Genomic DNA, 16,006 nt, shown 5'->3' with positions numbered 1-16,006 from the left:
CAGCTCACGGCAGCTTCAACCTCCTGGGCTCAAGTGTTTCTCCCGCCTCATTCAGCCCAGTAGCTGGGACTACAGGTGTGCACCACCACCCCCGGCTAATTTTTATTTTTAGTAGAGATGAGGTCTCGCTATGTTGCCCAGGCTGGTCTCAAACTCCTAAGCTCAAGCGATCCTCCCACCTCAGCCTCCCAAAGTGCTAGGATTACAGGAATAAGCTACTGTGCCCCACCAAAGAGGCAAATTATTTCTATTTGCAGATGATACAACAGCATTTCTGGAAATCCCAAGAAATCAATGAAAAAGTTAAGGCACAATGAGGAAACTCAGCAAGATGACTGAAAAGCAAATTAATGTATATGAATCAATAGACATTAATAAGTTTAAAAGAATAATAAAAGGAAAAAAGAATGCATGTACAAGATAAAATTTTTACAAAAGATATATAGGAGCTGGGCATGGCGACACACCATAATCCTAGCACTTTGGGAGGCTGAGGCAGGAGCATCACTTGAGTCTAGGAATTTGGGGCCAGCCTGGGCAACATAGGGAGACCTCATCTCTCCTAAAAATAAAAAACATTAGCTGGACATGGTGGCTCACGGCTGTAGTCCCAACTACCTGGGGGGCTGAGGCAAGAGAATAGCTCGAGGCCAGGAGGTTAAGACTGCAGTGAACCATGATTGCACCACTGCACTCCAGCCTGGGTGACAGAGAGACCATGTCTCAAAAAAAGGAAAAAGATAACTAGGAATAACTTCAAAAAATAATGACAAGTGAGGAAAAGATTAAAACACTGAGAAATATACCGAGTTTTAAGATAACACAATTTAACATACAGATGTCAATACTTCTCAGTTTTTTTAAAAAAATGGAGCTAGTCAAGATTATTTTCAATTCCAGTTTTGACAAGGCAAGACTCTCCAGGAAAATCAGTCTTTTTTGTTTGTTTTTAGAGTTAGTGGTACATCCAGACATCACTGCAGCACACTAGAAAGCTTCTGTCATTAAACCTGCAGTATTGGTATGTGCGGATTCAGACGAGCTGAACAGAATGGAAAGTCCAGAAACAGACTCCATAAAATGGAAACTTAGGATACAGTGAAGATGGCGTGACAAATCACTGGAGAAACGGCAGACCCCTAAATAAAAGGGGTGTCAGTTACCTTTTGCTACAAAGCCAAACACCGCAAAACTTCCTAGCTTAGAGCCACGGTAACAATGGTTTCTCATCACACTCAGGGTTGTTTGGGCCGCTCCTCTGGTCCCGAGGCTCGCTCTCACTGGAGGAGTGGAAGCAGCCCTTGGAATGGCGGAGACCGTGTCAGATGCCCCAGATGGCAGTTGCTGCAGCCAGCAGGCTGGGGCTGGCAGGCATGGGAATGTGAGACAGGACTGGCAAGCAGGACGTCCCTCGGGTGCTGGCAGACAGGGCATTGCATGTGGGAAGTCACCCCCATGGAACCCTGCTTGCCCACGGCAGCTGCAGATGGGAAGAGAGCGCTGCCCAGTGCAACCAGGAGGGATGCCCCTTCTTCCCGTAGCACCCCCAGTGTCACCTCTGCTAACTGGCAGAGGAGAACATTGACAAAGTCCAATGCCATGATCACAGAGCAAGGCGGTGAACAGTGGCTTTGGAGCTGAGAGACAAAAAGGCTCTAACCCAGCTACCATATGACACTCAGCTTCCACATGCACCTTCCACGCACATGTGAAATTCAGAACAAGCAAGCAGCCTTGTGTTTCCACCTCCCAAGATACAGCCACACTTCAGATCACGAAGGGGTTTTCTCACCCCTTGCCCACAATGAGGCACAGTCCCTCAGTCACTGTGTATGGGGTGGTGGGGGGGCGGGGCTCTGAGTGACTCCTCAGATTCCATCACAGCGCTGCTGAATATTCTGTTCCCTGAAGACTAAATTGTAACGTTACCTATCGACACCTGTATAGAAAGTGAAAAATGGAAAGAAGGAAATAGCACAAACCAACTAACACGTGTGTAACCGGGAAAGTGAAAGTGAGTAAAGCTACTGCAGCCCTCCCTTTGCTAATGGAAGGCACAGCTGTGGGTAATGTCTGTGGCTTCCTTCTTCCCAAACCCATTCCATTGTCCCCTGCCCTCATACAGACCTAAGCCGGTCAAGTTTCTTTAAAATTGGTTTTATAGAGAAACCGTCACCCAGGCTGAAGTGCAGTGGCAAAATCATGGCTCACTGTAACCTTGAACTCCTGGGCTCAAGTGATCTGCCCACCTTGGCCTCCTGAAGTGCCGGGATTACGGGCATGAATCCACTGCACCTGGCCTCAAGTTTCTCCTATGTGGGGTGTGACTGAAACCATCATTCCTAAGGACTCTGATTCTTCAACTGTCCTTTTTTGGCTGCTAGAATTTCCCACGAGCCATTACCATTGGGTATGGATATACCAGAGAAGCCCCTGGGTTCTTGTCCCCATTGCGTAGCAAAGCCTTGGTGACTGGGATCACTCTCTCCAGCTAGTAGAGAAACCCTTTTGCCTCCCATTGCTTCAGTGGCCTGGGGAGCCCCACATGGCCAGGGGAAAGTCTCATCTTCCAATGCACTGGAACCATGCCAGATTTCCTCTGGGGAAGCATTCCCTCGTAGAAACTAAGACCTCCAAACAAGCAGAACTCAAAGTTTCTGGGGCAGGAAGCAAACATTCCGTGCAAGGGTTACTAGGTAAGAGCATGAGAGGAGCCCCTGCCACCTGCACCCCCAGCTGCAGACCCCTGCTGGGGAGGAGACAGCACCACGTGGTGGTCTCTGGCTCACAGCATGCACCGCTCCCTGTAAGGCAGAGCCCTGGCCTTCTAAGGCCATGTCCCCAGGTGGCTGTGTGCTGTGGCTGCAGTGACCCATTCCACCTCTACATTAAGCTGCTGCTGTCTGGTGACGGTGGATGGATAGGAAGACAAGTTACAGTTTGAGTTTTTGTTCCTCCTTGGGGGCTTAATTGTAGGTTTTGAACATGTAAAATACTTGCATGGCTCACAAGTCAAAACCCCATGCAAAGATATTTTCATCCCCTCCCCCCTTCTTACCGCACCCCGCAGAGCTCTATGCTCATCATTTTTGTGAGTTCCCAGGTTCATCGTGCCCTGTTTCCGTTCGCAAAATTAAGGAAAGATGTTCAGACACCGTCGCCTGGCCGTTCATACACAAAACAACTCGCGCTGTGTGTGCTGCCCCACTTCCTGCCACTTCACTAATGGCCGCCCATTACCCATTTGTTGACTGTCAGCTCCAAACCTCCCCGTCCTTCCCTCGCTGTGTGAGGACAAGGCTGAACTCCGTGTCATTTGCCAGCTGGCCAGTACCCTTCAGCCCAGATCTCTATGCCAAGCAGTCTGAAATCCTTCTGAGCAACCACTACACCACCTCCGAGGTCAGGGTCTTTGGTGTCCCAGAGGTTCTGGAGAACTTGGAGGTGAGTGGCATCTGCATGCCTCAGGACAGGCCGGAGTCAAGGGCGTCAGGAAGGGCCTGGAGGAAGAGGGAATGTGGCATGGATGTCCTGGGCCAGTTCTCTTTAAAATTTATTTTTACAATTAGAATTTTTAAATTGAAGTACTCTTTTTCCGTAGCACTACTGCTCTCTCTCAGGCTGCGTGATTGTATTAATTGTTCCGACCTCTGCTGGTCTTCCCCAGCTACAAGTTAAGCTTGTGGGGGCAGCACTGAGAACCCAAAAAAGGCGCCAGTGAGCATGTGGTGCGTGGCATGGCAGAATTCGGTGCAGGAGCGTCTGCCACACAGCAGGGAAGAAAGCCCTAATCCCTGCTGGGACAAGTCCCCTCTCTCCAGGCCTCACTTCCTCCATGACTAAGTCACGGGGTGGGATTGGTGGGTGAATGATCCCTCAGGCCCAGAGCCTGGCAGGCTGGGAAGAGTTCTGGGGTGAGAGAACCAAGGAGTTCCTCAGCATTTCCGCCTGCTCCTTCCTCCTGCCTTACTGCAGCCCGCGTGACCGCGTGTTCTCCCGAAAAGGCAGGGAATGCTCAGCATGGCTGATGAGGGAGGAGGGCCAGCCCGCTGGCAGCTGCTGGAGACCAGCCATGAGCAGAGCTCGGGCTGCTGCCTTACAGAGGTAGTGCTTGGTGATACTTCATGTTGGTCCAGCTTTTTTTAAAGCAGCACTCGATTAGAATTGAAGGAGCTTGAATTTGATTCCGACATTCATATCAATTTGCCCTTCCCTCAAAAAACACCCTTAGTATAGACAGAGCTTCCCAACTCTGCAGACTACATGCCGTCCCTGAGCAGTGCCCAGGTGTCCTTACCTGCTCATGAGGTGTTGTTGAGGTGTTGTGTTTGTAATTGGTGGGTTCTTGATCTCACTGGTTTCAAGAATGAAGCCGCAGACCCTCATGGTGTTACAGTTCTTAAAAGCAGCGTGTCCAGAGTTTGCTCCTTCCGACCTTCAGATGCGTTTGGAGTTTCTTTCTTCTGGTAGGTTCCTGGTCTCACTGGCTGAGGAGTGAAGCTGCAGGCCTTCATGGTAAGTCTCACAGCTCAGCAAAAGCAGTGTGGACCCCAACATTAAGCAGCAGCATAATTTAAGTGCAAAAAGTAAAAGAACAAACATTCCACAACCAGCAAAGGGACCTTAAGCGAGTTCCCACTGCTGGCTCCGGAAGCCTGCTTTTATTCTCTTATCTGGCCCCACCCACATCCTGCTGATTGGTCCATTTTACAGAGAGCCGATTGGTCTGTTTTACAGAGAGCTGATTGGTCCATTTTGATAGGGTGCTGATTGGTGCATTTACAAACCTTGAGCTAGATACAGAGTGCCGATTGGTGCATTCACAATCCCTTAGCTAGACATAAAGATTCTCCAAGTCCCCAACAGATTAACTAGATACAGAGTGCCTATTGGTGCATTCACAAACCCTGAGCTAGACACAGGGTGCAGATTGGTGTATTTACAATCCCTTAGCTAGACATAAAGATTCTCCAAGTCCCCACCAGACTCAGGAGCCCAGCTGGCTTCACCCAGTGGATCCCGCACCGGGGCCACAGGTGGAGGTGCCTGCCAGTCCGGCGCCTGTGTGCCCGCACTCCTCAGCCCTTGGGTGGTCGATGGGACTGGGCGCGGTGGAGCAGGGAGCGGCGCTCGTCCGGGAGGCTCGGGCCGCGCAGCAGCCCACAGCGGGGGGCGGGGAGGCTCAGGCATGGAGGGCTGCAGGTCCCAAGCCCTGCCCCGCTGGGAGGCAGCTAAGGCTCCGCGAGAAATCGAGCACAGCACCTGCTGGCCCAGGTGCTAAGCCCCTCACTGTCCGGGGCTTGCGGCCGGCCAGCAGCTCCGAGTGCGGGGCCCGCCAAGCCCACGCCCACCCGGAACTCTAGCTGGCCCCCAAGCGCACGGGCAGCCCGGGTTCCCGCCCCGTGCCTCTCCCTCCACACCTCCCCGCAAGCCGAGGGAGCCGGCTCCGGCCTTGGCCAGCCCAGAAAGGCGCTCCCACAGTGCAGCGGTGGGCTGAAGGGCTCCTCAAGCGCGGCCAGAGTGGGCGCCAAGGCCGAGGAGGCGCCGAGAGTGAGCGAGGGCTGCAAGGGCTGCCAGTATGCTGTCACCCTCTCAGTGTGACCTGGGCAGGGGTCCCCACCCGTACTCCTTAGGCCCCAGGAGGAAAGCCCAGCATGTAAGGCTGAAGCGGGGGTGCTTCCAGAGATGGGCCACTCAGTGGTCCCTCTACTCTGCAGAATGTGCACCCCCAGCTCTAATGTCTCTCCCAGGTGAAATCCGGGTCCCCGGCCGTGCTGGCCTTGGTAAAGAAGTCTCTTGGGTCACATACACGGTCAGCGTCGCGGAACCCGCGGCGGCAGCCGGGGGCCTCTGTCCACTACCTTGACCTTCTCCAGCCCCGAGACTAACCGAGCCTTTTACCTCTCTTTTCCCACCTGTTTCCTCTCTCATCTCACCTCCCAAATGAAACTGTTGAGATTTTGACTGGAATTCATTTTTTTCTTCAAGCCCACTGTTTTTTTCTCATCGATTGCAGTTTTGTTGAGGCTGTTGCATTAGTCTGCTCAGGCTGCCTTACCAAAACCCCACAGCCTGGGCGGCTCCAAAACAGACATTTTGTTTCCTCACAGTTCCGGAGGCTGGAAGTCCCTGAGCAAGGTGCTGACACATTTGGTTTCTGGTGAGGGCGCTCTTCCGGGCTCTCAGACTGCTGTCTTCTCACTGTGTTCTCCCATGCCCTTTCCGCTGTGTGCACAGAGAGAGGACACATGAGCAAGGTGTCTCTGGTGTCACTTCTTCTTTTTTTTTTGAGATGGAGTCTCACTCTGTCGCCCAGGCGGGAGTGCAGTGGCGCCATCTTGGCTCACTGCAACCCCCGCCCCCAGGGTTCTAACAATTCTCCTACCTCAGCCTCCCGAGTAGCTGGGATTACAGGCACCCACCACCACGCCCGGCTATTTTTGTATTTGTAGGAGAGACGGGGTTTCGCCATGTTGGCCAGGCTGGTCTCGAATTCTTGACCTCAGGTGATCCACCCGCCTTGGCCTCCCAAAGTGTTGGGATTACAGGCGTGAACCACCGCACCCGCCCTGGTGTCACCTCTTCGTATAAGGCCCTCTTCTTAGAAGGACACAAATTATCTCAGATCAGGGCCCCACCTTGTAACATCATTTAACCTTCCTGCCTTCCTTATTCCAAACACAGCCACCCGAAGGTTAGGGCTTCAGCACAGGAATTTTGGAGGAACATAAACATTCCGCCCATGATACTATTTTAGGTCTTGTTACAGTTCCTTCAGTAAGATTGATTGGTTTATTTTTTAGAGACAGGGTCTTGCTCTGTCATTGAGGCTGATACGCAGTGGTGCAGTCATCACTCACTGCAGCCTCGAACTTCTGGGCTCAAGCGATTTTACCACGATAGCCTCTTAAGTAACTGGGACTACAGGCACACCTAGGCTATAATTGATTTATATAGAATTCTTTGCCTTTCATATTAAACATATTCCTAGGTACTGGTGGGAATGTAAAACATTGCTATTTATATCAGCTAAACAGCAGGAACAACTCAAATGTCCATCCACTGATAAGTGAATAAACAAAATGTAATTTATCCATGTATTAGGATATTATTCAGCTATAAGAAGGAATAAATTAGTGACACATGCTGCAACATAGGTGCTAGGTGAAGGAGGCCAGTTGCAAAAGACTGCATGTTTTATGATTCCATTTCAATGAAATGTCCAGGCTGGGTGCAGTGGCTGATGCCTAAAACTGCAGCACTTTAGGAGGCTGAAGTAGGAGGATCACTTGAAGCCAGGAGTTCGAGACCAGCTTGGGCAACATAGCAAGGCCCTGTCTCTATGCAAAGTTAAAAATTAGCTGAGCTTGGTGGCATGAGCCTATAGTCCCAGCTACTTGGGAGGATCCTGTGAGTCCAGGAGTTAGAGGCTGCAGTGAGCTGTGATCACGCCACTACACTCCAGCCTGGGCAACAAAGAGAGAATCTGTCTCAAAAGAAAAAAGAAAACGTTATTCTTTGGGAAATAAGCCTAACACAGGACAAATATTGTATCACTCCACTCTTAGGAAGTACCTAGAATAGGAAAATTCATAGAGACAAAAATAGAACAGAGTGGTGTCAGGGGGAATGGAGAATTACTCTTTAAGGGGCACACGATTTCTCTTTGGGATGATGGAAAAGCTCTGGAAATAAACAGTGGTGATGTTTGCACAACATTATGAATATATTTAATGATGCTGAGATGGACACATAAAATGGTAAATTTTATGTATGTTTGATACTTTTTTAATTAATAAAAAATAGGAAACTGCTGAGGGAAAAAAAGTAAAAAATCAATGAGTGCCTAAAGCCCATGAACTTGAAAATGAGGCTTTGCCTCACAAAAACCCCAGCTGCCTCTGCATCTGCACCCTTCCCATGTGTCTCTGAGCCCCAAACTGGTGGCCCTTTTGCTGTCAGCCCTCCCAGTGGCTGCACTGGCCTTGGGGGCTCACCCAGCATAGGGGGCAAAAGGATAGAAACCCAGGGCTCCATGCCGGGTGCGGTGGCTCACGCCTGTAATCTCAGCACTTTGGGAGGCTGAGGCGGGTGGATCACCTGAGGTCAGGAGTTCGAGACCAGCCTGGCCAGCATGACAAAACCCTGTCTCTACTAAAAATACAAATATTACCCAGGTGTGGTGGCACACACCTGCAATCCCACCTACTTAGGAGGCTGAGGCAGGAGAATCACTTGAACCCGGGAGACGGAGGTTGCAGTGAGCTGAGATCACGCCACTGCAGCCCAGCTTGGGTGGGTGACAAAGCAAGACTCTGTCTCAAAAGAAAAAAAAAAAAAAGAAAAGAAACCCAGGGGTCCACCCAGGCTGAGAGCTCCTGAGTTCTGGTGCTGAGCCTCCTGAGTTTCTGGAACTTCAGGCTCTGAATCATGGTGGGGGCCAGAGATTTTTACTCAGTATGGGAGGACACGTGAGTTAGGACTCATTTCTTGGTCCGTAAGGCTGTGCAAGCATCCCCTGGCAACTCCAGCCAGCTTTGCTGCTGAAGGAAGCTGTAGACAAAGAGTGCAGAGAAGCCCCCCAGGCACCCCCCTCCCCAGTGGAGCAGGGCCTGGAAAGTCAGTGGCCTTCCTTTCTTCACAACCTCAGTCGCTCTCACCCCTGTGGCCAGTGTGGAAACTGGGATGCTGGGAAGCTTGCCCAGGCACCTTTGACCCCGCAAGTCCCTGGAGCTCTGCCTTGGGTAGGGCTGCAGGCCCCTGAGTTGCCCAGGCAATGCCTCCGGGAGTGCCAAGGCAGGAAACTCACTAGAGAGCTGGAGCTTTAAGAAAACTTCATGCCTAGGCCCCATCTTCAGCACCATGGATTTCCTTGGACTGAGAGAACCACTGGTGTGTTGAAGGCTTACCCAGTGATTTGAGAGTGTGGCCAGGATGGAGAAGCACACACTTCTGGATGCTGTCAGCGGAGGCCTTTGACCCAGGGCTTCTGCAGAACTAGTCAAGAACCAGTGGCTCCTCCACTACCCACAGCCCTGGACAATGACAGGCTGGGCAAGACAGACACATATTGGTGGGCACAAAAGATCTGTTTCTGTTCCTGCTTGGGGTGTTTCTGTGTGGGAAAAGAAATCCCTTCTTTCTTCATCTGGAACAGGAATTAAAAGAAATTAAAGAATGTGTAAGCAGAAACTCAGTTGTATGTAAGAAAACCTAATTCCCTCTGAGAAAGAGAAAGAGCTGGAGTCCTTTAAAATTAACTGCCTGTTTTTCTGTGGCTGTTGAGCCTTATCTCTCCTCCTTTCCCAGGCATTGTGAAGACCCTGTTTCCCTAGCTGTGCAGCTGCAAGGTCACTAGACAGATAAACTCAAGTTGCAAAACACGTTTTCCTAGAAAAGTAAGAAATCATGTAATGCATGTTTCAATTGAATAACTGTCTTTGTTTCTCACTTCTGTAGTATTTCCCCTGCACAAATCTCCCCCAACCCACAAAATGCTTAAAAGTTAACTCTTCGTTTGGGGCTCAGTCCTTTGGATGTTAATCCGACTGGGCCGGTGCACCTAAGTAATTAATAAATATCCTCCTGAGCCCCATTGGTCTCTCTGATTCCTTAAAAATCCCGCAACACCTCAAGGCCCAAAGCCAGCAGAACTGCTCTTCCACCTGGCCCTTCTAGTATGTTTGTGAATATGTTTCCTGGAGGAAGTTGTAATTCTACTGTCCCCTCTGGAGGCAGGCAGGGCTGAGGTCTGGAGGAGGCAGGGGCTCCCAGGAACAGTGAGACCTCTGAGCTGCTGTGTCTACATGGGGTCCTGGGTTGTGGACAGAGGCAGGTTGCTAGTTAGCACATAGACCAGTCAGAGGAGGCCCAAGAAGGAGTTGCAGCTGTTCTGGGCTGCGTTTGGGAACCTACGGCTGAGTGTGGCAGGCCTGTGGCAGTTGCCAGAAGCTGGCCCTGCAAGCCAGGGTGTGACCCTGCTGCTCTGTTGTCTTGCTCTCTGGGTCCTGTGGTGCTAGGAGGAGTCTTCTGGATGCTTCCTTCCAGGCCTGGGACAGAAAGTCAAGGGAAGAAGAGCATGGCCTGGTGGCCAGCCTGCCAATGACAAGTAGCTCTAGTGGGGAGAGGCCTAGGGACCAGGGCTGGATTCCAGGATCCATTCGGCAAAGGATCTCTGGCCAGCCACTACCCTCAGAGAGCAGTTATGAAGGAAAACCAGGTCAAGAAGCTGACGCCTGTCCCACAGGAGCTCACAGACTCAGGGTCAGACAGCCCTGGCAATGGGGAGGGACCTCTGTGACACTCGGGGCTGCAGCCACAGACTGAGACTGTGTCCGTGGGGTGTGCAGTGGAGACTTACCATGGTCACGGGCAGCACAGGTGGGAAATTGCACCAGTCACAGGCGGCCTGCAGGCCAGCCCTGAGCTGCAGGTGGGTTTTGTTTTATGTTCTGCAGTTTTTCTTTTAATCTGAAGTTTTATGACTCCAGTGTTTAACACACACACACACACACACACACACACACACACACACCCAAGATCATGTACAAAAATGCTGATTCCTGTGTCTCTTCAAAACGTCTTGCAGCCCCAGGCCTCCATTCTGCTTGCTGCAGCCGCTGGAACCACAGATGCTCCCTGGCAGGGCCACCATACCCTCCAGCACCAGCTCCTCACCTCATGCCTCTCAGGCAGATTTGGATCATCTGCCTGGCCAGGTAGGCCTGCAAGCCTATGGCCCCTGGGAAAGATATAATAAATGCCGTTGGCTTTTGATTTGCTTTTCTTGTTGCAGAAGGGGTTTTCTTGGGACAAAATTTGAGTGGAAAAGCATCCCAGACAGAGGTAACAGAGGTACAGATGCACGGACAAGAAAGGCCCCTGAGGTGTGGAGAGTATTGGTTCCACGGAACGGGTCCCCAGTGGTTTTATGATCAGGCAAGTTGGGAACACCAGTCCCAGTGTGCACATCACCACAGGGGCTGCACAAATGGATTCCAGCAATGGGGAGGCCAGCAGGTGCCCATGGCGCAGGTCCTGACGGCACATCAGGAACAGAGGTCTTGAAGGCACATCTTGAAGGCCTGCATCCTGTGGTCAGTGGGTACCCACCGAAAGGTTCCTCTGGAAGCCAACTCTGCTAGGTGGTGTCAGGTGTGTGCAGCTTCCACCATTCTAGGGCACCCTAGAAGTCAGCCTTCAGCTCGGCCTGCTTCAATATGGAGATGGTTTTTAACCCTTTGTTATTCTGTTGGGACTCTGGACATTTAGACGTCTGTGCAGGGGGGCTCATGAAGAGACCAACTTCCCTGATAGGCCTAGATATGGCCTAGCCTGAGGCAGAAAGGGAACACAATTGGGGCTGGATGTTCTTTCAGCTTCCCTTGCAGAGATCACTGACAGAGTGGTCAGCTTGGCCAAGCTTCTGCAAGGGCTGGCTGTGATGTCTGGGAGGGAGGCAATCCCCAGAGCAGGAATGCCTTCCCTGGGGCTCATATCCTTGCAGGGGAGGAGGCGGCCATCCTCCCTTCAAAGCCTCCTTCACTGCAGCCCATGGGAGGCGAGTGACCTGGGGGATCCGTGCCCAGGGCAAACCTCTGGGCTCTAGCTTAGCCCCACCTCCGAGGAACATTCACAGCCCTTCGGGAGGAGAGCCCTGCTGCAGGAAGACTCTAGGGGAGGGCCCAGCTGCGGGGTCCTGGGCTGTTGGTGACAGTACCCCAGGCTCCAAACTCTCTGTGCCCGGGGGGCAATTCCCTTCCCTGGTTGCAGCAGATTCCCACCCCGCCCTGCCCCACTGCCCGCCCCACGGGGAAGTGGCCCGGGAGTGGAGGCGTGGACAGGCATCCCGGTGTCTCGAGTCAGGCTGTCGGGCCAGCCTGGACAGCACGGCCCGCGGAGGGCAGACAGGGCGCACGGAGCAGGCCCCAGGCTCCAGAGCAGCCGCTGACAGGCTGTCCAGCTGCATCGGGTCTCCATGGAGACGGAAGCGGGGCCACAAGGTGGTGAGCGGCGGGGGGCGGGGCTTCCAACGGCCATCAGCCCCGCCCAGCCTGGGCAAAGAGAGCCCGGCCTGGGAGGCGGAGCCAGGGACCCCCGGGCTGAGCCTGATTTCTGAGGGCGGCCGGGGCCACCTCCCTCCAGACGCTGCTGCCCCCACGCGGACGGGCGCCCTCTGCGGGTCCCGTGGCTCCCGGCCCTGCTCAGCGCCTCCAGAGCCCTCACCCGGGCCCTCTCCGCTGGGTCCACAGGGTCCTCAAAGCGCTGGCCCAGACGCGGGGTCACTCTCCTGAGCCTCCCGACCTTCCCATGGGTCCTTTGGAGCCCTGGGTTTTGGAGTTTGTCTTTCCTAAGTGCCGCTCGCCCGGACGCGGCTGCTGCAGGACCACAGCCGACCGAGTGCGGCCGCGTCCCCTGCAGGCCACCCGTCAAGGGCACAGGGGAGAGGCGCCCCAAGCCACAGAGTCGCAGAGCTGCCAGGAGCTGACCCTTCGGGTGGGGAGAGGACACTAACTCGGGTCCTCTCCACTTCCTCAAGGTTCCTTCTCACCTGCAGTGAACGGCTCCCAGCACCTCTGGGGCCTTCCTGTTTCATTGATGTCAGCAACTGATCATTGATCATCTCTGGTGTGCAGGGACAGAGAAGACAGACCCGCTGGCCCCCCCGGGTGGGCGAGGGAGTCTAGTCTATCTGAAGAAAACTCCCATAGAGATAGGGGCTAGGAAGGAGACACCAGGAAAAGTGAAGGTGGAAGATGGGGGTGACCCTACTGCGGATGGGGTGCTCAGGGAGGGTTTCTTTGAGGGGGTGACATTCACTAGATTGACCAAGGGACGGTCAGGGCCTGTGAAAGTATTTTAAGAGAGGGAATGGCAGTGTCCAGTGGACTGTTTCAGGGATGGAAATAGGGCAGCAGGGTGAGGGGTGTGAGCCAGGCAGGCAGGGCCCAGACACCATGTGATGGGTACAGGGGTGGGACCCATGGAGGCTCTGAGAAAGGCCTGGGCCTCAGAAGACAGGGAAACAGGAAGACCCACTTCGAGGCCTCACAACCTTCTAGGGCACAGACGGTGAAAATGGCTCAGGCCAGAATTTGGTTTAGGTTTCAGAAGGGTGCTGGGTGCCTCATGCTCTTCTTGAGGCTAAAGGGCTCCAGCTCCTTGGACCCTTTCCATGCAGACATTGTTCTGGGGCCCCCACTACATGGACACCCTTCTGATGTTGTCTGCAGCCAGGCAGGGGTCGTGGGCCAACCCGCCCCTTCCTTGGCCAAGTGGACAGATGAAGGGAGCCTCTGGGGGCAGGATTGCTGGACTGGGAATTAGACTTGGAGTGTAATCAAAATGCCCCACAGGCCCCACCTCTTCTCTGGAGCTCGACTTCTTCAAGAAAACTGGAAACAAAGGGATGGCAAGACCAACTCTCAGGACCCTTGCCCTTCCATCCCATGATGCTTTTAGACAGTTCCCAGGGGCCACCTTTTTCAGGAAGAATTATCAGGATATAGGAAAGTAAAGGGAGGAAACGTGTTTTGAGTGGCACTTAGATCAGGCTCTAGACTGGGTGTTGGTTTGGTGGGGTTTGCTTTTTCTCCCGCCCCACACCCCTTCACAAAACCTGGGTCCTGGCTAGGCTGGGAGTGAGATTCCTGTGTCTAGATTTTCATCATTCCGTGTTGCACAGGAAGTCTAGGGAAAAGGAGACAGATATTAGCAAGTGTATAAAAGAAAATTTAGCCAGAGAAAACCTAGAAGAGGAATGAAGATGGGGGGATTATGAATGGCAAAGGACGAGCTGGGGGAGAGGGAGTTGGGCGTGGGGCTGGGACAAACAGAAAGGAGGTGGGGGAGGGGCCAGGGAAATAAAGTCCAAGAGGTCAGCAGGCACCAGAAGCCATAGCCTTAGTTGGGGCATCAGGAGAGCAGCAAGCTGCATCTACCTTGGAAAGATGGAGAGAAGACTGCAGTGAGCGGAGTGGGGAGGAAGGGGGAAGTGGCAGGGCAGAGGAAGCAGGGTACAGACAGGAGAAAAGAGATGGTGCCCTGGGCCAGGTGGCTGCCACCGCTACCATCGCCAGAAGTGGAAAACTCTTTGCCTTCTCCTTACCACTGTCACTATGACACCCCAATTCTTTCTGCTCCCCCTTCTTTAGTAATAGGTGCTGGCAAGTAAGGAGCAGTCTGATTTGAGTTTGCGAAGGAAACCCTTGGAGGTAGCTGTGAACCCATGAGGCTTGCCAAGTAGGGAGCTCAGGATCCCCAAGATTGGATGAGGAAATAAGCTTAGTGAGTGACAGTTCCACCAGCCTTCCCCAGAGTCACAGTAGGCGTCCACTGCCCCTGCGGGTCCCCAGGCCTGCTCTACTGGGTGGCCTCTCGGACCCAGGGCTGCACTTCCAATGCTCTGCAGACACATCTCGGGCTTGAATCCCATCTCACTGATTCCACAAATATTGACTGAGGGCCTACTGGATGCGAGACCTGTGTGGCTGTGGGGGAGGCAAGGTCCCTGCTTCAGTGGGAGTGACAGGTGTAAAGCAGGATGATTTCAGAACCTGAGAAGGGGGACAAAGCAGAGAACTGGGAAGTGGCTGGGCGGGTGCGGTGCAGCCTGGGATGGGGTAAACAGCAAATCTTTGCCATCTGTTCCTGTCCGGATATCATGGAAAATGCTACCCGATCTCTCTTGCACCTCAGTGTCCTCAGCTGGTTGGTAGAGTTTGAGCTTCCCCACTGCCTGACCCTGCTCTCTGGGCTGTCTCTAGGGAGTCTGCCCTTCTCAGGCCTGCTCCCCACCCTCTATGGCTCTCAATTCCTCCCAAGAAGAATGTTCCTCTAAAAGGAGGCCGCTGGCCACAAAGGGAGATGAACAAGCCAAGGTAGCCTGGCCTGCACTTGGGGCCACATGGCTCCTTAGGCCCGGCCTGGGTGGACACTGGAAGGAGCTTTGTCTGTGGGTTTTGCCCTGTTGCCTGGAGCCCCTTCCCTATGGTGTCTTGACTCAGCCCAGCTCGCTGAGCCTGGAGCCCAGGCTTCTAGAGAAGAGATGTCAAGGTCTACCACAGGGCACAGGCCAGAAACAACTTGTCCGATGCCAGTGAAAGCCAGGCCTGGGGAAGGCTCCTCTTCTCACAGGGCTGGCACTCCCAGAGGGGACACGGCACGGCAGCAAGTTGGAGGCACAGACTCTGAGGGGCCCTTGGTGGGGAGCTCAAACAGGACCCACAGGGACCCTCTCTCTGGGGTTGCAAACTGGCACTGGGTGGAGGGAGATTCAGTATTGACACCTGGGGGACCCTCAACCCCAAAGTGGATTTAAAGGACAGTGGCACACTGGGGAGACAAGAGGCTCCACAACACTCCCATGCTTGCCCCAGCCTGCTTCTTGCTTCCCGTTCCTGCTCTTTGTTGGGGAAGGAGAATCTTATATGACTGGTTGAACTCCAGGATAGTCCCTGACCACCATCAGTAGTGGGCAGGGTCACCATATGTTCAAGGCTGTGCACACCGAGCCACTGGCCATGCACATGGGCGGGGCCTTCTGGACCTTCATCAGGCCCCTTAGGAACCCATGAAGAAGCTCCCTGATAGGTGCTGATGGGCATCTGCACCCATAGATTCACTGCCTGAAATGGAAACACTGGGTTCCTGGGAAACTGGAACCTGCCTTATGAAAGCCCCCATTCCCATCACCCCCTCCATCCCTCGGGGCTGCTGCTGTGTCTTGCCATCAACCCTCCCCAGACCCCCAGGACACCTGCCTCACCCAGAAGCACCCCTTCAACCTGGGCCTCGATGAAGGCTCACTCCTCCGTCAGGCCTCTGAGGGGGGATGGCTCCGTGCCACTTTTAGCAAAAGGGGAAACCATCGCAGCAGAAAGGCCAATGCCACACTAGACAGCCAGGAGCCCAGCAGAACAAGTGGCCCCCTAAGGCACTTTGGGGACCACACCCCCGTCACTCTGACCCCAGCACAACTGGTTCCCAGGCCTTCGGGATCCTCCTG

At 53.5% G+C, this 16,006-nt stretch overlaps 2 long non-coding RNA genes across 5 annotated transcripts in view, besides 7 other annotated features; one reads left to right on the top strand and one right to left on the bottom strand.

The window, feature by feature from the left end:
• The window catches only part of LOC105376956 (uncharacterized), a 66,549-nt gene extending 54,590 nt beyond the window's left edge, over window positions 1-11,959 (bottom strand). For 2 of the 4 annotated variants that reach the window (XR_940601.4, XR_940602.4), the window contains exons 1-4: window positions 9,916-10,004; window positions 8,910-9,148; window positions 5,937-6,225; window positions 4,298-4,500 (exon numbers count right to left, since the gene is read on the bottom strand). This is a non-coding gene — a long non-coding RNA (uncharacterized LOC105376956). Of the gene's footprint in view, window positions 1-716; window positions 3,501-4,297; window positions 4,501-5,936; window positions 6,226-8,909; window positions 9,149-9,915; window positions 10,742-11,112 lie in introns of those variants that run through there. The other 2 variants (XR_940599.2, XR_940600.2) reach the window with 2 other exon arrangements.
• Window positions 3,033-3,122: an enhancer, noted in NCBI's record as "active region_19458". NCBI's record gives its function as "activates an Ori minimal core promoter by ATAC-STARR-seq in GM12878 lymphoblastoid cells {active_cell/tissue: GM12878}" and the evidence as "EXISTENCE:reporter gene assay evidence [ECO:0000049][PMID:35858748]".
• LINC02022 (long intergenic non-protein coding RNA 2022) lies at window positions 3,092-10,781 on the top strand. The gene is made up of 3 exons (NR_136189.1): window positions 3,092-3,444; window positions 9,310-9,398; window positions 10,589-10,781. It is a non-coding gene; the product is annotated as a long intergenic non-protein coding RNA 2022 (long non-coding RNA).
• Window positions 3,213-3,342: an enhancer, noted in NCBI's record as "active region_19457". NCBI's record gives its function as "activates an Ori minimal core promoter by ATAC-STARR-seq in GM12878 lymphoblastoid cells {active_cell/tissue: GM12878}" and the evidence as "EXISTENCE:reporter gene assay evidence [ECO:0000049][PMID:35858748]".
• Window positions 6,248-6,377: an enhancer, noted in NCBI's record as "active region_19456". NCBI's record gives its function as "activates an Ori minimal core promoter by ATAC-STARR-seq in GM12878 lymphoblastoid cells {active_cell/tissue: GM12878}" and the evidence as "EXISTENCE:reporter gene assay evidence [ECO:0000049][PMID:35858748]".
• Window positions 11,113-11,625: an enhancer, noted in NCBI's record as "H3K4me1 hESC enhancer chr3:12918177-12918689 (GRCh37/hg19 assembly coordinates)". NCBI's record gives its function as "activates a minimal SCP1, AML or CMV promoter by ChIP-STARR-seq in naive and primed H9 embryonic stem cells {active_cell/tissue: H9 hESC(naive and primed)}" and the evidence as "EXISTENCE:reporter gene assay evidence [ECO:0000049][PMID:30033119]".
• Window positions 11,626-12,139: an enhancer, noted in NCBI's record as "H3K4me1 hESC enhancer chr3:12917663-12918176 (GRCh37/hg19 assembly coordinates)". NCBI's record gives its function as "activates a minimal SCP1, AML or CMV promoter by ChIP-STARR-seq in naive H9 embryonic stem cells {active_cell/tissue: H9 hESC(naive)}" and the evidence as "EXISTENCE:reporter gene assay evidence [ECO:0000049][PMID:30033119]".
• Window positions 11,626-12,272: a biological region, named in NCBI's record as "H3K4me1 hESC enhancer GRCh37_chr3:12917663-12918176".
• Window positions 12,033-12,272: a silencer, noted in NCBI's record as "silent region_14072". NCBI's record gives its function as "represses an Ori minimal core promoter by ATAC-STARR-seq in GM12878 lymphoblastoid cells {active_cell/tissue: GM12878}" and the evidence as "EXISTENCE:reporter gene assay evidence [ECO:0000049][PMID:35858748]".

The sequence above is a fragment of the Homo sapiens genome, chromosome 3 (assembly GCF_000001405.40).
Source record: "Homo sapiens chromosome 3, GRCh38.p14 Primary Assembly".
Taxonomy (NCBI): Eukaryota; Metazoa; Chordata; class Mammalia; order Primates; family Hominidae; genus Homo; species Homo sapiens.
This window is presented reverse-complemented; position numbering and strand designations above follow the sequence as displayed.